Source organism: Homo sapiens, chromosome 13 (assembly GCF_000001405.40).
Source record: "Homo sapiens chromosome 13, GRCh38.p14 Primary Assembly".
Classification (NCBI taxonomy): domain Eukaryota; kingdom Metazoa; phylum Chordata; class Mammalia; order Primates; family Hominidae; genus Homo; species Homo sapiens.
Window position 1 is genome coordinate 75,426,194 of NC_000013.11, and position 25,076 is coordinate 75,451,269.

The 25,076-nt window shown below is 37.5% G+C and overlaps 1 protein-coding gene across 9 annotated transcripts in view; it reads right to left on the minus strand.

Moving 5' to 3' along the window:
* Positions 1–25,076, minus strand: part of TBC1D4 (TBC1 domain family member 4) — a 198,667-nt gene that overhangs the window by 142,691 nt on the left and 30,900 nt on the right. The gene's annotated exons all lie outside the window — the stretch shown is intronic.

The following is a 25,076-nucleotide window of genomic DNA, read 5'->3' on the forward strand; positions in this document are numbered from 1 at the left end:
TTCACTAATCATTACAGAAACGCAAAGCAAAATACAATGAGATACCACCTCACTCCTCTTAGGAAGCCTATTACCAAAAAGAGAAGAGACCACAAGTGTTGGGGAGGATGTGTAGAAAAGGGAAAAAATCCTTTTTGATAATGTTTAAGTCACAGATCAAGTCCCCTTATCAAAATAACCATAAGTGAAATTACTAAGTGGCTTCACAGAAAACATGTATCCGGCTAATAAATGGGAGGAGGTCAACCCTATTTGTTATTGGCTATATCAAAGACTGTGATTCTAGACACATCAGGATAAACACATATAAATCAAATAATACCTGTTCTTACTCACCTTGCATTGAATTTATTCCCTAGCAACACTGGTATGAGACTCAGGAACTATTCAGCCACTGGCTCAATTTCTTACCTGCAGGAGCAAATACCTACACAGGTTTGGAAGCAATCTTGTGCAATCCCTTGTCTCTTAATAACCACAACAGACTATTCATGTCCAAAACTAAATGAAAGAAAAAGCATCCCCAAAACAAAAAGCTTTAAACAGAAGTAGAAAGAATGAATATTGGCCAGGCACAGTGGCTCACACCTGTAATCCCAGAACTTTGGGAGGCTGAGGCAGGTAGATTGCTCAAGCCCAGGAGTTTGAGATCAGCCCAGGCAACATGGGGAGACCCTGTCTGGAAAAAATACAAAAAAAAAAAAAAATAGATGGGCATGGTGGTGCATGCCTGTAGTCCCAGCTACTCGGGAGGCTGAGGTGGGATGACTGCTTGAGCCTGAGAGTTCAAGGCTGCAGTCAGCTATGATTGTGCCATCATACTCCAGCCTGGGCGACAAGAGACTGTCTCAGAAGAAAAAGAAAACAAAAAAGGAATGAATACCTTCAAAATATAAACATTTTTTTTTTTTTTGAGACGGAGTCTCACTCTGTCTCCCAGGCTGGAGTGCAGTGGCGCGATCTCGCTCACTGCAAGCTCCGCCTCCCAGGTTCACACCATTCTCCTGCCTCAGCCTCCCGAGTAGCTGGAGCTACAGGCGCCCCTCACCGCGCCTGACTAATTTTTTGTATTTTTAGTAGAGACGGGGTTTCACCGTGGTCTCGATCTCCTGACCTCGTGATCCACCCGCCTCGGCCCAAAATATAAACTTTTAAGTATCTGCTGTATATATCAACAATATTATTCAGATGGAACTTTCAAGATGGGTGCAGTGGCTTATGCCTGTAATCTCAGCCTGTGGGAGGTCAAAGCGGGAGGATCACTTGAGTCCAGCCTAGACTCAAGTTCAAGACCAGCCTGGCCAACACAGAAAGACCCTGTCTCTATTTTTGAATTAAATATTAAAATAGAAAAAGAAAAAAGAAGATGGAACCCATCAGAGCAGCTAGTGAACCTCACACCTCTGCTGCTCCAGCTTGAAGCTTGAAGCTGGCTCCTTCTGTATTTAGACCTCCCTCGGCACTTGCCCCAATACTCACGCTCGAATTATTCATAATCATTGATCTCTTTCACTAGACTTGCAAGATCCTGTAAGAGCTAGGATCCCTGGGTCACTGATCTTTGCATCCTTCACACATTTATAACTGTGCTTTATTCACTGTTTAAGTGAAAACTCTTGAAAGCCCACACTTCCATATTCTTGTTTTATGTTGCTTATAAGAACAAAGAGAAAATGCTAAATTACTTTTTCATGAATTCATTTTGTGAACTATACATGATGGATTTCTGATATACTTTGGGAAATACTCCTCTGACAATTTATCAACAGGAGGAAGGGCCAAAGAAAGGAATAGACTATAATGGGAAGAAAAATTAAAATAACATCAGGAAGCAAGCAAGCATGTGTACTTAAAATAACATTAGGAAGCAAACATTGAATATCTGGCATTCTCTACAGGTATTAAAATCAACAGGGGACACAAAATTCAGCCTTCATTAAGGGGGTGCTTCAGTACTGTTGGGTTTGTTTATTATTTTGGGGAGGACTTGGGGGGAGTAGAGGGAAGGGATGAAACAAGCAAAGCTCAAACATGACAGTAAAATGCTTCGTGTCATGAAACAGATCTCAAACACATTTCTGCTTTTGTAACATTCTATGCTAAGGTCTGAGGTGAACTACCAAATAAGATTTTAAAGGAAAAAAACCTGAAAATTTACCTGGGCAATGTTCATGTTTTTTACATATCCTTCCAGCATGTTTCACCCTCTACCCTTAAACTTTTGTTAGTCATATTTGGATTAAATACAGTAATGGAAAACCAGTATAACGTTTGCTGGTGTGAATCTATACTAGATTTTTCCAGAAAAATGAACAAGTCAGGAATTAATGTATAATAATTTCCTTTAGCTCTTATGAATAAAATCAAGACTCTTTTAATCTAAATCACTCTATGTACAGAATCAGGTGACTGAACACAACAGAAATAAAAATATAACAACTGAGGAGCAATTTTCTTCCAAAATGGTTTTTGGCAACCCAGTTCCCCGGATTAGTTCCTCTTGATCATTTTGAAATGGAATCACTCTTCATCTGAAGCAACATTGCAAAAGTCTTTGCCTTCTTGGACAGAGGCTTGCCGCAAACATAAACAGGGCAGATTGAGGGTGAAGTAAATAGGAGAATGCCACCCTCGCTGCAACCCCTTTCATCACACATTTCATAGGCTCCCATATTTCCAGCCATGACAGCTTTGGTCTTTGATGGAACACAGCCAACCTTCAGAGCAGTAATGATGACAGTAGGCCCCCTCCCTATACACTCCTGCATCCTAAGAGGTAAGAGTGAATTAACTGTGGAAACTGCCTTTGCCGAATCACCTGACCACCACAAATTTCTCAAACCACATACCCAGGTTATCATTACACAGAGTCGCAAGTGGTGGCAATCCTAGTTTTCTGTGAGTAACTTTTTTGGTGTTTTCTTTTTAAGTATTAAAACCACCAAATGTATGTTTTCAAATCGTAAAATCACGTGTTGGAGAAAAGAATGAAGCATATCTTTCTGGTAACAAAGGAAAGAAAGTTAATTGTCTTACCCTAATCTAAAAAATAAGTCAATATGGAAATCAACAACCTATGGAAGGCAAAGTAAAATTCCCCCTCTTCATAATCTCCATCACTGAAAGTAAATATTTTCATCTCATCACAAAGAAAAGTCCATCTAGTTTCAGAGTTCAATGAATAAGCCCGAAGTCTTAATATGGAACAGAACTTCAGGAATGAGTATGTACAGCAGAGTGATTTGAGGTTGACCCAGAGCTTTCTGGATCTCCTGGTCTGATTTGCAACATTTAAGCCTTCAGGGCTTGACAAATGCAGTGCCATTTGCTGAGATTTTCATGCCCAGGCATTTATATTGTTGTCATAAAAAAAAGTTGATAAAATTTTTCTTCCAAATCAATTTGGCAAGATAAAATAAAAGGTTTTAATTAAAATGATCCCAAAAATGCTTTTAAAATTTATTTAGATCGAACCACTACTCTTTTAAAAAAGTATTGGGGGAGAAAAGAAAAAACAAAACACCTGAGAGAAATTGGAAAAAATTTAGGAAGAAAAAAGAGGAGAAAACTGGAGGGGAGAAAAATTGGACCAAAAAAGAAAAAATCTTTAAGGCACTGAAATGCAAAGAAAAACTTAGAAAAACCTTAGTCTGAGAACCCATAGGACTTTCAGAGCATAGAACCATCTGCAGAACTTGAACAGAATAAATAGATTTTTAGCTGAATTTTGTAATCTACATAATAATGTATTCCAAAAAGCACCCATCTGGAATAGGAGAAGAGCTAGAGTTAGTCCACATAGAATGAGCAAGACTAGATAAAGGTATTTCACTCTAAATCTCCAGAGAAGGGTTAAACAGAACAAGCTCTACCATTGCACACAGACAATGAACACAGAAAAAGAAAATTATGACAAATACACATGACAGTTGAGAATATGAGTTTACATGAAATATTCTCACAATATCTGTAGCTACATCTCACTGAAGATATACTCTGTAACTGGAAATTTATAAAATTTACTCTATAATCTTGATAGATGACAAACATTACAGCCTTTAGTTGGAAGACATTCCTTTCTCACTGTGAAATATACATCGCTTTAAAGGCTGACAGCTTTTACTCTGAAAAATGAGTCATTTAGCATTGTTTCATTTCTTTAAAAATTAAACAAATGGTATTTTTGTGAATTCTAAATAGGCCATTTTCAAAACAGTCCACACTGTCCCCTCGTGCCCCACCCAAGCACGTACTTCAAAATCTCTTTTGTTTCTTAATATCTGTATCTTCTTTCCAAATATGACCAAAGGGTCACACTACCGGAATTTATAAAGCAGAATGAGAAACTGACAGAAATAGGGAAGAGGACATCTCAAGGGCTTTTCTTGTTAAGCGTCGTTGCTATACATCAGCTTAGTACTCCAGGCTCATCGGGGGACAGATGGAGAAATCACAACTTGCCAAATGTTTATTATATGTGCAGATGGCTGTTTCTGTTTTGAATCTTCCATTCTTTTATTTCCCCATCGATTTGTGTAGATATGAACAGTTGCTCCCTTAAGGCTTTATCCTGTGTAATTAGGGTTCCTCCGGTACAGCACTTCACTCTCTCTCCATCCACCCCTTCCTTTTCATATGGTCAGCGCAGCTCCATCCCTGAGTGTGTCTGCTCACATTTACCTTCCCATGCCACTCCACCCACAATCTTGCCAGTGTAACTCAGAATGTCCTTGCTGATAACCATTCAGTGAAAGACAAGGTGAACCAAAGCTTTGTGGTTAAAATAAGCTGGACTCAAACTCAACTCCTGAGGGGTGCCCAGCAAATGAACACTCCTGGCAAGCTTAAGCTAAGCTATTTCTGGAGGTGTCCCAGGGAGAATAAAAGGGAAATGAGGCATCAATGGGCTTTACAACAGCTGTACTAAATTCCTTTAAACAATCAATTATAGAAGATTATCTAGAAATTATAACTGGTGTAATTAGCTAGTTGATATAAAGAAGCTAGTAATTATACATGCAAATTATCATTATGAACAACCTGAGTTTTGGCTTTGTTTCCATGCAATTTTCATTCTGAAGAACTTTGAGAAAACAGTTTCCATAACCTGTCAAGTATATGGGTGCTAGGGTTATAGAAAACTCTTTTGTACTATTTTCTTTAACTTCCTAAATGATCTTAATCCCCTGTTCTAATCCCAATTATGTCGCTAAAGCTGTCAGGTGACCTTCAGTATGATACCTAACTGTCACACAAAAGCTTATTTTCACATCTATAAAATTCAGATAAGAACATCTTCCTTGGATAAACAACTTAATTTCTACTTGGTGCCTGGGAACTTCAGCATGAGTAACTCCATTTTGGTTTGGTCTGTTGGGACTAAGGATCCCAACCTTTGGTCTGTTGGTCTAAGGATCAGAGTTAGGTAACAACTGTAATGATGAAAAGTAATAAAAAGAATTTCATATTGCATTCTTCTTACCAAAGATCTTTACTAAGTAACTATTTGCATGGAATTCAAAAGGCAAATCATTGCCTTTTCACTGAATTAACATTTACTGAGTATCTATAATGTTTCAGGATCTGTACTGGTACTAAAGATTCAGATAATTTATATTCTAGAAATAGGATATGAAAGAAGACATGGACTTGTGCACATAAAATTTTAAAACAGCTTGTTACCTATTAAGAAATATTGAGAGGAACCAGGAAAGGAAGGAGTAGTCTCACTCCAGTCTAAGGGTTAAGAATGGACATTTTAGAAGAATTAGATTTGCTTGAACTGAGTCTACAGGAATCAGTAAAACTTAGTCAACTGGAGTGAGAAAGTGGATAAAGATTCCAGGCCAAGTCCATTCTTTGGTGAAAAGTAACAGACACCCAATTCAAACTAGCTTAAGCAAATAAAGAGCACTCATTTTTCTTGTGTAACCAGAAGTAGGCAGTGTGGAGTTGGCTTTACAGACAAATCAAACTAGAGCCTTCCAGCTCCATGACTGGAGAGAATGGTATCTAGTGTGAAATATTCAGGGAAAAGCTCCACTTGATCTGGCCCATCCCTGGGGCAAGCATCTCAGCCAAGGGATAAATGTATTAACTGCCCAGATGTTCTATGGCCCCAGGAACCTCGTGAGACTATGACTAAAAGGTCCATTGAAACTCCATGTTCTGAGGCAGCAGTTTTCTGTAGCTCACTGTGGTTCTAAGCAGACAAAACAACGATGTCCATGACACTGCAGGAATGTCAACAACCACACAAATAAATAAAACATCATGGGTCGGGTGGAGAGAAGCACTGGGGACTAGGAAGAGGGCAGAACCAGAATTCTGCCAGCAATATAAAAAGGCAATGTTTGACCTGGAGGTGTGGGAATTTATAACTACTGTTAGTTAAAAATGAAATGGCACACAGAAAGCAATTTAGAATGTATAGTTAATACTTAAACGGAATAACTATTTACAAGTAAAGACATAGAAGAAAGGAACTAATATTTTCAAGTGTCTGATGCACTTTCTATAGCCTCACAACCATACATAAGATAGGTATTATCATCTTCATCTTATAAATGAGTCAGCTGAGATCGAAGATTTCTCAGGCTGTAAAAGACATGCAGCCAGCAAGAAGTGGCATTGGCATTAAAAATAATGCCTGTCTGGAGAATGTCGTGAACCCGGAAGGCAGAGCTTGCAGTAAGCCAAGATCATGCCACTACACTCTAGCCTGGGCGACAGACCGAGACTGACTCAAAAAAAAAAAAAAAATCATGCCTGTCTGTCACAATGCCTATGCTCTTTGCATGGTGCCTCTAATAAGGATTAGAGCAAATAACTGAAAGGAAAAAAAAATACACAATACAAAAGAGCCTACCCTACTTCACTTACACTTATTGCCTCAACTCTCACTCACCATTCCATGCCATTCAATAAATATTGCATATTTACCATGCATGAGTCATTTTCTGTCATGCCATGGTGACCCACGTACTGCCACTCATTCATCAGATCCATCTCAGGTGCCAGTGGCATTCCTCAGCCTTATTCTCTCACACATGGTGGAAAACAGAGGAAGCTGCCCTGTCCATTTATCCAAAACATTCTTCAAACCATACTGCCTTACTATGTAGCACTCACTAAGTATGTATGGAAGTAGAGTGTTTTTTTAAGGGCTCATAGATTCTTTGTACAATCTGTTCCGATTCCTGCCCTAATATATCTACCCAAAGTATCAAGACAAGAGAGCATAAGCCATAAAATAAAAACAATCTACTGTCCCTTGTTAAGAAATGAAAATACAAGATGCTTTTCCCTATTATAGACAGATAGGGAAGCATATGTGTAAAAGACAAAGGCAATGAATGCTCTTTAACCCATTATATAATTACCTGCAAGAGAGGCAGCCCTTTCCTAACGTACTTGATTCATCTATTCTAATACACACAATACTCATTTTACACCATGTTATATTGATTCATACTATAAATAAAAGAGAACGGCAAATTAAAAAGCTTCCCAAAGAAACTATCAACAGTAAACAGACAACCTATGAATGCGAAAAAATATTTGCAAACTATGCATCTGACAAAAGTCTAACATCCAGTGTCTATAAGAAACTTAAACAAATTTACAAGGGAAAAACAACCCCTTTAAAAAGTGGGCAAAGGACATGAACAGACACTTCTCAAAAGACATACATGTGGCCAACAAGCATATGAAAAAAAGCTCAATATCACTGATCATTAGAGAAACGCAAATCAAAACCACAGTGAGATACCATCTCTCATCAGTCAGAATGGCTATTACTAAAAGTCAAAAAATAACAGATGCTGGTGAGGTTGCAGAGAAAAGGAAATACTTATTCACTGTTGGTGGGAGAGTAAACTGGCTTAACCATCGTGGAAAGCAGTACAGCAATTCCTCAAAGAGCTAAAAGTAGAACTACCATTCAACTCAGCAATCCCACTACTGGGTATATATCCAGAGGAATATAAGTCATTCTGCCACAAAGACACATGCAGGCAATGTCCATGGCACACTATTCACAATAGCAAAGACATGGAATCAACTTAAATGCCCATCAATGACAGACTGGATTTTAAAAGTGCGGAACATATATACCATAGAATACTATGCAGCCATAAAAAAGAACAAGATCATGTATTTGCCAGAACATGGGTGGTGCTGGAGGCTATTATCTTTAGCAAACTAACACAGGAACAGAAAACCAAATACCACATGTTCTCACTTATAAGTAAGAGCTAAATGATAAGAACTTAGGAACACAAAGAAGGAAACTACTTGAGGGTGGAGGGCGGGAGGAGGGAGAGGGGCAGAAAAGATAACTATTGTATTCTGGGCCTAATACCTGGGTGATGAAATAATATGTACAACAAACCCCCGTGACATGTGTTTACCTATGTAACAAACCTTCACATGTACCCCCAAACCGAAAATAAAAGTTAACGAAATAAATAAAAAGCTTCAGATAACTAAAAATGTTTTTATATAAGATGAAATATTAATAACACAGACTCAACCTATAAAAAGAATATAAGTTGCATATTTCAAAATCTGTAAAACAAAAAAGTTCTGAGAGTTTCACAGATCTAAAAACTGTTGCTTTCATACTAAGAAGAGGAAAGTTTAAAAGTTCAATTAAAACATACACAATTATAGGCCTGGTACGGTGGCTCATGACTGTAATCCCAGCACTTTGGGAGGCCAAGGCAGGCAAGTCACCTGAGGTTAGGCATTCGAGATTGGCCTGGCCAACATGGCAAAACCCTGTCTCTGCTAAAAATACAAAAATTAGCTGGGCGTTGTGGCAGGCACCTGTAAAAGACAAAGGCAATGAATGCTCTTTAACCCATTATATAATTACCTGCAAGAGAGGCAGCCCTTTCCTAACGTACTTGATTCATCTATTCTAATACACACAATACTCATTTTACACCATGTTATATTGATTCATACTATAAATAAAAGAGAATGGCAAATTAAAAAGCTTCCCAAAGAAACTATCAACAGTAAACAGACAACCTACAGAATGCGAAAAAATATCCCAGGAATCGCTTGAACAGGGAGCCAAGATCACGCCACTGCACTCCAGCCTGGGAGACAGAGGGAGATTCTGTCTCAAAAAAAAAAAAATACATAATTACGACTAAAAAAAAAAAACTTTGATATAAGTGACATAATTAAAACATCTTTGTAAGAGAAATATATGATTCAGTCATGATAACTTGAAAGGAAAACTTCAGTAATAACTGTAACAAGGTTTTTAATTTAATCTTTACAAACTTTAAATATTAGATATTGAAATGCTAAGACAAGCAACAATCTTTAACACAAGGACATCACGTTGTTTCTAGAGGTAGTAAATCTGTATGCATAAACATACATATATTTCATATATCTGTCCACTGACAGATCCTAGAAGCTATGACACCCAGTGGCAACGAATATACCAAGTGTCCTGGTGTGGGTTTCTAAATACCATTCTCCACTAAAAGAATCTGGGAGTTTCTTGAAGAAATGGCTGACTGACAAGCTAGGTAAGTATAAAATAAGTCTGAAATCCATTTTTGTGCCAAAAGTGCTCAAAGAATAACTAGGGTATGGGAAGAAGATACAGAAGTCAGTGTAAAAGAGTTGCCACTGGCAAACTCTGGGAAATAATGACAGTAACTGGTTATAGCCCACTACCCAAAATAATAATCCATGAATCCACACTGATATAAACAAACAGACAAGAAAAGAAAGTTCTATTTTATATACAATGGTGATATCATTTGGCTGTGTCCCCACCCAAATCTCATGTTGAATTGTAGCTCCCATAATCCCCACGTGTCATGGGAGGTAATTGAATCATGGCAGCAGGTTTTCCCATGCTGTTCTCATGATAGGGAATAAGTCTCACAAGATATGATGGTTTTATAAAGGGCACTTCCCCTGCACATGCTCTCCTGCCTGCCACCATGTAAAATGTGCCTTTGCTCCTCCCTTCCCTTCTGCCATGATTATGAGGCCTCCCCAGCCATGTGGAACCGTGAGTCCATTCAAACTTTTTTTCTTTATAAATTACCCAGTCTCGGGTATTTCTTCATAGCAGTATGAAAATGGACTAACACAAATGCCAACTAGTTCATGAAGAAGGAATGGTGGAATCAAAAACTACCATTTCAGGCTGGGTACAGTGGCTCACTCCCAAATCCCAGCACTTTGGGAGGCCAAGGCAGCCAGATCATTTAAGCTCAGGGGTTCAAGACTAACCTGGACAACATGGTGAAACCCCATCTCTACAAAAAATACAAAAATTAACCAGGTGTGGTGGTGCATGCCTATAGTCCCAGCTACTCAGGAGGCTGAGGTGGGAGGATCACCTGAGCTCAAGGAGGCTGAGGCTGCAAAGAGCCATGATTGCACCACTGCACTCCAGCCTGGGTGACAGAGTGAGACCCTGTCTCCAAAAAAAAAAAACAAAAAACATTTTACAACCATCATAGTAATAATGGATTTGGGCAAGAATCATCAATGGACACTAATGGGTAAAATGTTTGATTAAAAAGCATCTCCCCCACAGAATCCTTATTATTAATTGACAAGTAAAAAAATTTTATTAACCTTACATTAGAGAAACTTGGAAGACACCATCTTAATCAAGTGATAAAAGTTAATATCACCAGTAATGGGACATATTGACATCTCATGCCTCCTGGTAAAATGCACTGATAGGAACACACTTCTGTGGTATTCCTCCCAAAACACATAATTTATATCTAACAATAAGAAAACATTAGCCAAACCCAAACTGAGAAATATCCTAAAAATCCCTGTTCAAAAATAACTGGTGCTCTTTGAAAATGTCAAGGCAATGAGAGAGTAGAAAAGACTAGGAAAACTCCAGATTAAGAGAGACTTAAACATAAACAAATGGATTCGATACAGATCCTAGGCCTAAAGGGGTATTACTGAGATCACTGGTGAAATCTGAATGGGGTCTGTGGATTAAATGGTAACAACAGATTGGCATTTATTTCCCAATTTTTATGGTAGCACGGTGGTTATCTAATGGTGTCCTTGATTTCAGGAAAAATCCAACGAAGCATTAAGGGGGCAGGACAGCATCATGTCTGCAACTTATTTTTAAGTTGTTAAAAAAAATTATAGTAACAAGGAGAACTATATTGTGAGAGAATTATAAGGCAAATTTTGCAAAAATGTTAATGAATGTAACATGTGAGTCAAGGGAGTAAGAGTTTTTGTATTATTCTTTCAATGTTTCTATAAGTCTGAACTTACTCTAAAACAAAAAGGTTTCTTAAATATACTTTAGTTGTCCACAGTATCAGCAGTGCAGTAGCAAAATTATTCCCTTAAATTCCTTTAAGTGCTATTCTCATTATAAACTTTTTTTTTTTTTAGAGAATGGAGCTATTTCCAGCTCCTCTACAATACACCGATATACAGTTTTTCAGATTTGGGACACTAAGAAGTAGCTGATGTCTTTAAAAGTTTGGCAGCTCTCCAGTGGATAACCGACTCTCAGAGAACAGCTAACTCACCAGTAGTAGCTAATTCCTCTATAAAACAGAGCAAGCTGTTAAGTGCCCTGACCTTCCCAGTGAGAAGTCACTGCTGTTCACTGTGAACTATTTGAAGATGCATTAACTCTTTCTGGTGGCTGGCAGAGGTCTGTCAAAAGAGTACAGAGTTTTGCCTGATATTACTAAAAATCTGTTTTTTAAAATCCTTTAGATCTGCAATTCTTACAATTGAGGAAAACATTCTTGGCCAAGAAAATACTCAAAAAGCTACACAAACATGGCAAAAATAAAATCTTCAGGTTCTCCCATCACACCACAATTTTCCAATGTCATAAACGTCTTTTCCTCATTCTGCTATATCCAATAATTGATATGGTGAACTGCTCTTTCAAGAGACAACTTCCACCTGTTGAATTCTCCTAGTCAAGCTTCCCTCTTGAAGCATATCACTCTTGTTCATATACCGTTAATTACATTTCCTAGTAACTCCTAGAAACTTATAACTGATAAAACAATAAAGCAAATAAGCATCTCTATGCTAAAAACAATTCCAAAGGTTTCACTTGAGCAATGCTTATGTTCAATTTTCTCTAGAAACATTTCATTAACTATGCCTTTCAATATTAGCTGCTCCTGAAATACCCACCTTAATAGCCCAGTCACTTGTAAATGCCCAGTCACTTGTAAATGCCTAAGGATAGAAAAAACAGAAGAGCTCTATCCTAGGTGTATAAAAAGGGGCAAATCCAATCAATGTCCTCTAAAGCACTTGGAAGTCAGTTTTAGAAAGTCTAGCCAGCAAACCTGTCGCTATGTTCTATAACAATGATAGATCTAAAAGGAAGAGACCATGCAAGGCCATAACACACTGAGAATTCAAGTTATAAACAGTAAAACATTATGGAAAACTTTTATAATATTAAGACTTTTCATGCAGAAACATGGTGTGTCTCTTCACTTATTTTTTAAAGCAGATTAATGTCGACCTCAACGTCTATAGATAAACAGGCTACAAGTCTCTTAGATTCGTATATTAGAAAATCTAGAAATAGTTTCCAACAGATACGTATCTATGTAGTCAAAAGGGCATATGATATGAGATAAAAGTATGTCTTGTTTAAGGTAATTTAAGTGGAAAGCTACATTATTTTAGTGCCAAATATTTTGATATGATAGGAGATAAAAGTATTTCCTGTTTAAGGCAATTTAAGTGGAAAGCTACATTATTTTAGTGCCAAATATTTTGTACAGTATTATGTGGACCATATATTTTGAGAGCAAAGAGCTTAGCTTCTCCAGCTGAAGATAAGCTCAAGCAACATCACTATTAATGCTTCCCTTTAGAAGTTCTATAAATGTGTTTGCCATAGACAAAATCTCCCGAAAAACTGTCTTGTTCCTTATCCAAGAGGTAATTCCAGTTTATTGATGGCAACTTTAAGGAAAATTTGCCACATCTAAATTTCTTTATGCTTCATAACTTATAAAGCATAAAGAAATGCCTCATAACTTCATGTATAAAGTTTTTTATTCTATTTATGTTGATTTTGATTCATTTAAGGCCAAGTGTTGTGATAAAATTCATAATTTTTTACTTTTTCACAGTTCAAATGTAATACTTTATCATCTGCCTGAAGTAAGCCTAATATGCTTGCTCTTTTAAACTTGTGTTCTTTCTCTAATGCAAATCGTATGTTCACTCGGAGATACTGTATTAATTACACAAAATATTAAGACTGCTATCCAGAGTATTTAACAGAAATTGTAAACCACTATGTTCAAATCTTCATATAAATAGCTAAATAACTCACTTATTCTTGCTTAGAATATATTCCTCAATCTATGCTTCTTTATTTCAATGACTAGTTTTGCTGTACCCAATGTTTAGAAAAACTGGCAAGGTTTTTGTTGTTGTCATTGTTGTTTTGAGATGGAGTCTCACTCTGTCACCCAGGCTGGAGTGCAGTGGCGCAGTCTGGACAGTGAAACCCCGTCTCTACTACAAAAATACAAAAATTAGCCAGGCATGGTGGCACGTGCCTATAATCCCAGCTACTCGGGAGGCTGAGGCAGGAGAATCACTTGAACCCGGGAGGCAGAGGTTGCAGTGAGACTCCATCTCAAAAAAAGAAAAAGAAAAGAAAAGAAAATTAACTGGTATATATGCAATATTCCAAACAACTTAAAATCTAATATAATAAATGTTTCATTAACATCTGACTATAAACAGTACCTTTTATGAAAAGATTCTTGTACACTTAATGAGCATAATAATTTTGCAGGACTCTGAGGATAGAACACAATCATTGGACAAGCATTTTTTGATATACTATGTGTCAGGCACTGGTAATTAAAAAGACGAATAATATAAATATATCAAGGCAGAAATCCCACCTTTACGTAATTCCAAAGAGACACAAAGTCAACAAACAGAATAATGCGATAAGTGTTATAACTGGAAAAGAAAAAAAAAGAAGAAGGGTGTTTCAACTAGGGGTGGATTGTATAAAATGAAATGGCTAACTCTTCAAAGGGGGAGCAGAACCCTGGAGAAGTCTGAGGTTAAGCTGGGCCAGATTATATCATGAAGTGGGCAGTAAGCCAGGCAAAAAACTGGACTTTATCCTTCAAGCAAAGAGAAAACAGAGGAGGGTTTTAAGCAGTGAAGTAATTGACACAGTTAAATTTTAGAAGGAAAAAAAAACACTGAGCTGTGAAGGACATCAAGACTAGACTGAACATGAAGGAATACATATTGAAGAGGGAACCAATTGTTAAGGGCCCTATGTTTATATCACCATATTTATTTTTACTATTTTTTAAAAAAAAAATTATAGAGATAGGGTGTCACTGCATGCCCAGGCTGGCATGCAGTGGTGTGATAATGGCTCACTGTAACCTTGAGCTCCTAGGCTCAAGGGATCCCCCCAGCTTAGCCCCCTGAGTAGACAGGGCTACAGGCCCGTACCAGCACACCCAGCTACTTTGGGTTTTATTTGTTTCTTTTTTTTTTTTTGTAGAGACAGGGTCTCATTATGTTGTCCAGGCTGGTTTCAAACTCCTGGCCTCAAGTGATTCTCCTGCCTCAGCCTCCCAAACTGCTGGGATTACAAATGTGAGCCACTGCACCAGACCATCACCATATTTTAATATTAATTTATAAAAATTCAGTGAACATTTACCTTCTTTCAGGCTGGTGCTGTGCTAAATGCTATGTGATTTTTTTAAAAAAGAGGACAGGCCAGGCACGGTGCTCACGCCTGTAATTCCAACACTTTGGGAGGCCAAGGCAGGTGGATCATGAGGTCAGGAGTTTGAGACCAGCCTGGCCAACATAGTGAAATACCGTCTTTACTAAAAACACAAAAAATTAGCCAGGCATGGTGGCGGGAACCTGTAATCCCAGCCACTTGGGAGGCTGAAGCAGGAGAATCACTTGAACCTGGGAGGCAGAGGTTGCAGTGCGCCAAGATCGCACCACTGCACTCCAGCTCGGGCAACAGTGTGAGACTCTGTCTCAAAAAACAAGGAGGAGGGGGTACAAGGCATGATTAGTGCCTTTGAAATATATGAAACTATAGAATTCTATTAAAAAAACATGTAAAATGTTTACAATGTAAGCAGCTTTCTACTTTAAGGGACTCATCTGGAAACCATATCTTCAAGAATAGGAACCAAAAAAAAGAAACCTAATTATTATGTGTATACTTTTTGAATATCTAATCAATCTCGAAAAATTAAAAAGGAAATTGTATTCTTACCAAAAAAATTCAAATAGTTTCCCCCCTTGAGTAACTTAAAAGCACTATATTTTTAATATCTCTAAAAAGATTACTTTTGAAATCTAAAAATATGATTTTTTATCTTCCATAGCCCAGGAACGTCTATGCACATGTATAGATTGCACACAGCACCTATAGAGTTGGAAAACTAAGTAGTCATAAAATTTTGAACCAATTTAAAACTGCATGATCTAACAGGATCAGTTAACTCAGAAACAGAATGACAACCCTTCAGCCTTCCCCAGTCCTGCCAGTAAAATCAGTAACTTCATTCTCTCTGTTCCCATTACAGTACCCCAACTCCGAATTACAGCAACCATCACAGTCTGATCTACATTACAACTTAATTGTATACATGTCTGTTTTACCTCTAAGAAGACAAATTAGACTCTGTAACACTTCTTTGTATCCAATGGCATGGTGTAGCTGCACTCAATGTTTATGCTCAATTAACGTGCTGAAGACAACTAAGCTTAAAGCACTTAATTAAAATGAGTAGTCATAATTTCCATTTCAGAGCTACTCAAATAATGGTTTCAGAAAACATTTGGGCAATTTATAAACATCATAATATATACTATGTATGTACTCTTTTTAACCTCCTCAATAATATAGGGTAACCTCAAAAGAAAAATGTTACATCTCAAAGAGGAGGGAGTGGTATTTAGTTAGTTTCTGGCAAATGCTCTTTTACAGTTAACATCTTAAAACCTCAGTTTCTTCATCTGTGAAATTAGGCTAATAACAAAACTTACCACAGAATCATTTTAGAACTAAGTTTTTTTAAGTGTTCAGAGGAGAATCTAGCAAATAACCAGTTCTCAATAAACATTAGTGGGGTTTATTATGATGATTATTTTTAAGATTCTAATAACAATAATGAAATAAAACAATGCTATGAATATCCCAAAACAGAAAACAAATTCAAAATCACTTAAATTTTGTTCTGGAATCATATAGTCTAAAACTAACATTTAAGTTTGAGTGTCAGGGATTTGGTAGGGGAAAAAAAAACATTCTGGGAGGCCGAGGCAGGCAGATCACAAGGTCAAGAGATCGAGACCATCTTGGCCAACATGGTGAAACCCCATCTCTACTAAAAATACAAAAATTAGCTGGGCGTGGTGGTGCACACCTGTAATCCCAGCTACCTGGGAGGCTGAGGCAGGAGAATCACTTGAACCCGGGAGGTGGAGGTTGCAGTGAGCCGAGATCGCGCCACTGCACTCCAGCCTGGCAACAGAGCGAGACTCGGTTTCGGAAAAAAAAAAAAAGAAAGAAAGAAAGAAAAGAAAAGTCAGTGAGTAACAGAGCGAAAAAAGAAAACAGAACAGAGCAGAAAAAGAAAACAGAAACAGTCCAAACTCCATGTCCTGTCTGTGCCTCTTCTCTCTGCCTAGTCTATACTAAAAACAGAATCACCACTTAACCTGAAGAAAGGCACCAGAGGTGATAAACTGCTACATGTATCATTGCTCTGTTTATTTTATGAAGTTTATTGTAGCTCCTCTGGGCTTCATTGCTCTGTTTATTTGATGAAGTTTATCGTAGCTCCTCTGGGCTTAGGCAAGTAATTAGTTACTTCAGTTTAGAGGCCCCCAGCTGGATGCAGCCAGATGCACAAGTGAATGCCAACAGCGGCTAGGACATTTCACTGACAAATAACTGCACAACTACTTTTTTCCCTGTAGAGGTTAGCTATGAAGAATGAAAAGGCAAGAATTGTCACAGAGTTTCTAAAGGAACATAAAAATAAGAATTAGAAACACAAAAGTACCTAGACTGAGCAGATATCTCATTTCATGTGTTTGAGTATTTTTGTTATAATCCCCTGAAAGTATTCCATACAGCATTAAATAATGCAAAAATTTAATTATATCTAAATCAAAGCACACTGCCAAGTGTGGGTAAGATCAGGGAAATTGTTGGACGAGTTCTCATCATAACACGTCTAGAATATACAGAGGGGCTGGGATTCCCTAGCAGATAATAAAACACCTATCAAACACTGCCTTCCAGGCACCCTTCTAACGCAGAACATACAGCTGACACAGCAGTCAGAAGAGACGTCCCACCTTCCCTGTCTCTACATCCGTGATTCTCAAAGAAAGAAAAAGGAAGAATGTCAATCCAAACTAACAGGGAGGCTTTTTCCAGTCAACTTCGCTTTCCTTCACCTTAAAGGGACAATAGATTCCCCTGAGAACACTGTCCTGTATCTGCCACCAAGCCCTGTCCCTACTCAGAATCACAGCTACCACAACTGCAGAGACCAGGAAAAGCCAAGGTGAATGTTTAACATGGTCTTCCACCTACCTTGCCAAGCACTTAACGACTACCAGCTACTTTGAAATCCAAGTACTGGGAATCAGAAGAAGATACAGACGTGACAACAGGATAACTTTCATAGTCTTCTTAAAGCATTTTATAAGCAGATAGTAGAAAAAAATATCCATCTGAAAAAAAAAAAAGCTGTAGATGCTAGGGTAACAGAGGACAAAGGCAAAGTAACTGCTGATATTGGATATACCCAAAAGCTAAAGAACATACATTTAGTTGTGGAGGGAAAGGTGGAAAAATGTAGCTGTAAGAAGCAAATGATACAATTCTTTTTTCTTTTTTAAGATAAAGTCTTGTTCTGTTGCGAAAGCGGAGCGCAGTCAGGTGTCATCATAGCTCACTACAACTTTGAACTCCTGAGCTCAAGAGATCCTTCCACCTCAGCCTCCTGTATAGCTGGGACTACAGGCACTCACCACCATTCACCACCATGCTCGGCTCATTGAGGTATTTTTGTAGAGTCTTGTTTTGTTGCCCAGACTGGTCTCAAACTCCCAGCTTTGAGCGATCGCCCCTCTTTGGCCTCCCAAAGGGCTGGGACTACAGGCTTGAGCCACCTTTCCTGGCCTCTAACTCTTTAGTAGAAAATTAAATGCTGTGATCATAATTTAGATAAGATAATAATAAAGTCCAAGGGAATGGAAAAAACAAGGTGATCAAAAGTTTAATAATTTCACATTATAAATAAGACATTGTTGTTCATGTTTCATGTCTTTTGGTGTTACTGCACACCCTGATGAAATCTGGAATCCTGGATTTAAAACAACAATGGTACATTCTCCAGCTTTTCTGTAAGCCACCTTAACACTTACAAAACAACTCAAAGGACAACGAGTAAATAAAAGACAATACCCCTGGCTCTGGGGTTGATCATTTATCACTGCAGTCTGGATGTTTGTTCATAAACCTGTATTTCAAATTCTGTGTTGGTGGTGTGTTAATATTTTATTTTATAATATAAATTAATCATGACCCATGGGTCTACATTTCTCTACTTTTTATTTCAATATTGGAAAAAATGATATTAATGGCTTTCATTTATTAATTGCTTACTATGGGCCAGCCAGTTTTCTAGGCATTTTATGTACATTACATCATTTACCCTCATAAAATCTATAAGAATAGCTATATTAATCTCAATTTTCCAAATAACACCCCCAAAAAAGTCACTCGCCCAAGGTCACAGACACTTAACCATTGGAAGAGTCAAGTGTTAGCCCCAGGACAAGATGAACCCTAAAGCCCATGCTTTTTCCTCATACTACACCGAAACTGGAATTTTCTAATAATATCACGCAGACACCAGAGAAGATAATCACACAGGTAACTGCTATTTCTTAGTTTTACATATTAACAGAAATTTAAATAATCTATGTGTATATACTGTACATCACTCTATTCCATACAACACATAGAACAGTGCATGGAACTATTCTCAAAAATACTCAAGTGGTTATTGAATAATTAATGTCTCAAAATATCTAGAACAGCACATTTCCTTGTCTACATGACACACTGGGCTTGTTGTAGATACTCAAATATGAATTAGCTATAGACCTTGGGCACATTATTTTCTCATTTGCACCAAAAATATAACATCATCTATTGTTGTATTTTCCTCAGAAACCACTCTAAGAATCCACTGAGATCGTATATGCAAAATCCTTTCTAAACTGTAAAATCTTCTATAAAATAAGGTCATGGAGCACTAAAATCAACAATCTCACCCAGAGTAAAATGTAGCAGTGGTAATACTAGTTTCATCTAATTTGTTATCTGTTACTGGTATAAAAGGAAAGAAAAAAATTCATATTGGCAAAGCTTACAATTTACCAACATGTGACATACATTGATTTAAGATAGAAAATGTTTCAAGTCTAAATGTTATTTACCATTCACACTACTCCCTAAAAAAATGTAAGCAAATCAAAAGTTGTGCAATATTGCTGGAAAACACTTTACTATCATATTCATAATCTGATGATTGCCGATTCAACAAGCCTGAGTCACAGCCTAGACATTTTTGTTTTTAAAAAGTTATTTCGGATAATTTTAAGTTACAGAGCAGCTGGTTTTATTTGATTTATGTGCTGGTATTCTCTGAAAGACATCTTTTGAAAAAAAATTCTCTGAGCTCCAGAACCAGGCTGGTTTGGAAACCGCTGGCCTAACAGAATGTTTAAGTATTTTTGACATAAGCTGAGCAGCGGAAAATGATACTGGAACATAAGTAGTAGCAGGGGAGACAGACAGTTCACATGGCAGAGGGGAGATTAATTTTCTCTCCAAACACCACAGTGAAAATGAGAAGAATGTAATATGATTGTTTCATGCTACCCATATGCTATTTGCTGGAATTATGCTGCACTTTAAAAAATTTAGGTAAAATTCTTATAGAGTGAACTATTTTAAATAAAGGAGACGATTCCGTAGCTTTTAGAACATTCGTAATGTTGTGCAAGCATCACCTCTATCTAGTTCCAGAACACTTTCATCACTGTGTTGTACTTTTAAATTTATTTATGGAGTTTATTTGTGCTGTGCTTCTTTCTAAAAAAAGCTTGGGAGTGGCTTCTCATTAAGGCTATTAATAAAATAGAAATGGAAGATCAGAACCAAGGAAAGGAGAAAGAAGCTAACATGAAATCAACATGTGTTAACGTAGTTTTTATTCAACATTAGGTTTGACACTTAAGCTTTCCAGCAACAGAGCATAAAGGTACATCTGATAAATTATCCAAAAGCAGAGAATAATTCCAGCACCTCAGTGGAAACAGTTTTTCTTGACACTGAATTCTAAATGAAATTTCTCAATTGGGACTTGATGTGACATTGAACAACCGCAGTTTCACAGTGTATACTGAAGCATTTGTAATATGGCTTTTTCTGTAATAACCTTCAATAAAAGCAGATTTTAGAGGTAGCAAAACTATAAATATTTGACCTCTACTACTAGGTTGATCTCAAATTAGTCCATATAATTTTTTTTTTTAACAAACAGGTGAAGTAAGAGATTGCAAGGAAGCCCTTAAAATGTCCCATCAGCAGGAATTGTGGTGGCCAAGGAAGCACCCTCAGCAGGACCTGAGGGGGTGGGAACAGGTTGTGCCAGGGATATGTTTTGCAGTTAAGGGTGGAATATTATAGATTGAAGGCTAAGATCTTTTTATATATTAGGCAACAAAGTGTAGGTGTTACAAAATAAAAGCCTCACTGTGCACAAAGATATACAACTGTTGCACGTGGTTACAGGAGTTACTTTTAGTCGGTGGACTTGATGGGTGACAAATGTAGAAATAACTGGAGGATATTTATAGGGAGAAAGTATTTAGTAGATTTGGTAAACTTATATCAACGGTAGAAGTATGGAAGGATTAAGGTAGATTTTTATTGGTTCTATACTCCTATTTTCAAGTTGCTGTTGCTAAAGATTTTCATAATTTGCAGTGCAACTAGCAGTTTATGCGAGTTCCAGTTTCATTACATACTTGTAAGCCCTAGGTGTAATCATTAACACTTTCTTCTAATATAAATGCTAAAACAGATTCTTATTGTTACTTATATTTTCATAGATGAGGATACTGAAGGCTGCGATGCTGTAGGGACATCAGATCATAAGCTGATGGGCATGCATAGTGTGAATGTGTGTGTGTGTGTGTGTGTGTGTGTGTGTGTGTACAGGCCACTGACCAGTACTGTTTATATATATATATGCACACATATACGTATACTTTATATACACACACACACATATATAAAAACAGTACTGGTCAGTGACCTGTTAGGACCTAGGCGTCACAGCAGGAGGTGAGCGGCAGGTGAGGTAGCAAACCTTTATCTGTATGTACAGCCACTCCCTATCTCTCACATTACTGCCTGAGCTCTACCTCCTGTCAGATCAGCAGCAGCATTAGATTCTCATAGCAGCAAGAACCCTATTGGGAACTGTGCATGTGACGGATCTAAGTTGCAGGCTCCTTATGAAAATCTAATGCTTGATGATCTGTCACTGTCTCCCATCATGCCTAGATAGGGCTGTCTAGTTGCAAAAAAACCAGCTCAGGGTTCCCACTGACTCTACATTATGGTAGGTTATATAATTATTCCATTATATATTAAAATGTAATAATAATAATAGAAATAAAGTGCACAATAAATGTAATGCTCTTGAATCATCCCAAAACCATCCCCGCCACCAGTCCACAGAAAAATTATCTTCCATGAAACCTCTTCCTGGTGCCAAAAAGGTTGGGGACTGCTGTTCTACAGTGACTACTTTAATCACTCTTGTATTCATGCTGTCTTCTACAGGGTCTTCATTGGAGTAAATGCTTAATAAAAGTTTACTGAATGAACGAACAAGTGAATGAGCTGGGACAGAGGTCTCTTTCTTTCAAGTTGGATGCAGTGTTTTTACATTGCATTTATGTGAAAATTTGTTTCCCATGTTTTAAAAAACACTTTATGGAGAGGCCAAGGTGGGCAGATCACCTGAGGTCGGGAGTTCAACGCCAGCCTGACCAACATGGAGAAACCCTGTCTCTACTAAAAATACAAAAAATTAGCCAGACGTGGTGGCGCATCCTGTAATCCCAGCTACTCGGGAGGCTGAGGTGGGAGAATCGCTTGAACCCGTTAGGTGGAGGTTTCAGTGAGCCAAGATTGCACCATTGTACTCCAGCCTGGGTAACAAGAGCGAAACTCCGTCTCAAAAAAAAAAAAAAACAATAACAACAACAACAAAAACACCATAAAAAAACTCCACTTTATGCTCTGTAGTGAACATATTAATTAAAATGAGTATTTTATACGGTGTTTTTAACCAAACACCGTAGATGAATGGCTAAAAATCTAACTCCTAAAGCATGTGAAATGAGTAGACTTATTAAAAAAGAAACAAAATATTTTAGTAATGAGAAAGTAAATCAATATATACAAATAGGCAGTTTTCTGTAATTGACCTAATATACTTCCCCAGGTCATGTTTAGTAAATAATAAACTTTAGCAACTGCTTCTTTAAAAATGAATGAAACCAGTCTTTGAAATTATAGCAGATTATGTGAAATTTTATAAAAGCTGCTCCAGTTATTGCCTCCTAAAATGTGAAAGTGACACTCATAGCAGTTTTTGAAATTCACATACACAAAGGGGAGAATCATGTATATGCATTCACATATTTGACTTATATATATATAATTATATACATATCTGATGATAATTATATATCAATCACACTTACATTACCTAATATTAACACATATAATACTAACGTGTGTTGTATACAGTAATCCCCCCGTGTCCTCAGGGATATGCTCTAGGACCCCCAGTGGATGCCTAAAACTGCAATATTATTGAATATTATTGAACCATATGTGTGTGTGTATATATGTGTGTATATATATGTATACACACACATATATATATTGAACCATATGTGTGTATACACACACACACAATTTTTTTTCTTATACGTACATACCTATGACGAAGTTTAATTTATGTTAGGCACAGTAAGAGATTAACAATAACAACTAATGATAACATTGAACAACTGTAACAATATACTGTAATAAAAGATGTGACTGTGGTCTCTCTCTCAAAATATCTTATTGTATGCAATATTTTTGGACCACGCTTGACCACAGGTAACTGAAACCTGAAAGTGAAACTGCAACACACACACACACACACACACAGACGCGCACACACACAGTTTTAACATACATAGTTTTTTTTTTTTTTTTGAGATGGAGTCTTGCTCTGTTGCCTAGGCTACAGTGCAGTGGTGTGATCTCGGCTCATTGCAGGCTTCGCTTCTTGGGTTCAAGCTATTCTCCTGCCTTAGCCTCCCGAGTAACTGGGATTACAGGCATGCACCACCACACCTGGCTACTTTTTTGTATTTTTAGTAGAGACTGTTTCACCATGTTGGCGAGGCTGGTCTTGAACTCCTGACCTCAAGTGATCCACCTGTCTTGGCCTCCCAAAGTGCTGGGATTATAGGCATGAGGCATCGTGCCCAGCCAAATGTACATAGTTTTAATGTGTATTTTTTACATTCTGTAGTCATTTAGGAGTAGACTGCCAGTGGTACCGTGGGGTCCTATGGATGATTCCAAATAAATGAACTCTGATACATTTTATATTGTTTTGTGTGGATACACACAAATATGAAGAATAAACCTCACAGAAGCTGATAGGAATTTTAATGGATTTGAAAATGATTTTCTTGAAATTTTGCTTATTTTTGGCAGAAAAGACTAAAACCTACCATTGCCAACATTTTTATAAATGTAATTTTATGGGTTTATTAAACCTGTATTTATTGAGCCCTACTTTACCTCACAGTGGCCATAGTTGCCATTCATTTCTTTTAATTGTTTTCCTTGTTTTTCTTCATTATGATGCGGTGTCAGAATTTCCGTTTTCCTCCAGAGGTGTACTTCATTTAGTGTAATAGCAACATTCCTGACACGTGTTATGTTTCAGATGTTACTGTTGCCTTTTCATTTGCTTTATACTTTCAAAAAAAGCCCTTTAGTATTAAGTCTTTTGATAGCAACTTTGACATTTATTTAAGTTTTATCACACCCATACGGATACATGCAGATATGTTTTCTGGCTTTTTTTCCAGGAAATTTCAAATAGAAAGGACGAAATTGGTAACTTTGACCTCTTTTTATAAGTGTATAACACTGTGATCGATACTCTAATTTTCCTCCTGGAGCATCGGTTTGTGACAATATGCAGAGAATACTGCCAGCCAGGTAAGCCCACCAGAACCTAAGTGTCTGGAGTTTGTATTGAGGCTTCCTTAAATAGGCATGATTAATTGAGTCATTAGACATATGGTTGAACTCAATCTTCAGCCCTTCCCACCTCCCCAAAGGTCAGGCTGATATCACCTGGTGGCCACAAGCCCCACCTTTAATCACATGGTTAGTCTTTCTAGCTTGGCCATTCTCCATTCTCAGTCCTCTTATTAGCATAAACTATCTAGGGCCCACTGTGAGCCCCCTCGTTAGCATAAACTATCAAGTGTAGTTTGAGGGTCCCACCATGAATAACAAAGATACTCCTATCAATAGGAAGAGTCCAGGGATTTAGAAGTTACCACTCAGGAGCTAGGACAAAGGCCAGCCAAATTCTTTTCAAGCGTCCTTCTATTTCCCCCAAAAGTATAGTATGTCTTATTTTATTAGGTGCCTGCAAAATTGATCTATTACCATTTCTTTACCGTATTTGCATTGCAGTGCGCATGAAGAGCTCTTAATTCAGAACTTTTCTCTGCCACTAATTATGTGGTTTGGGTAAATCACTTAACTTGTTTGAGACTCACTTTTCTTGTCCATAAGATGGAGTGAATAGTACCTACTTATTAGAGCGAAAAAAAGTGCCTCGCAGTGTCTG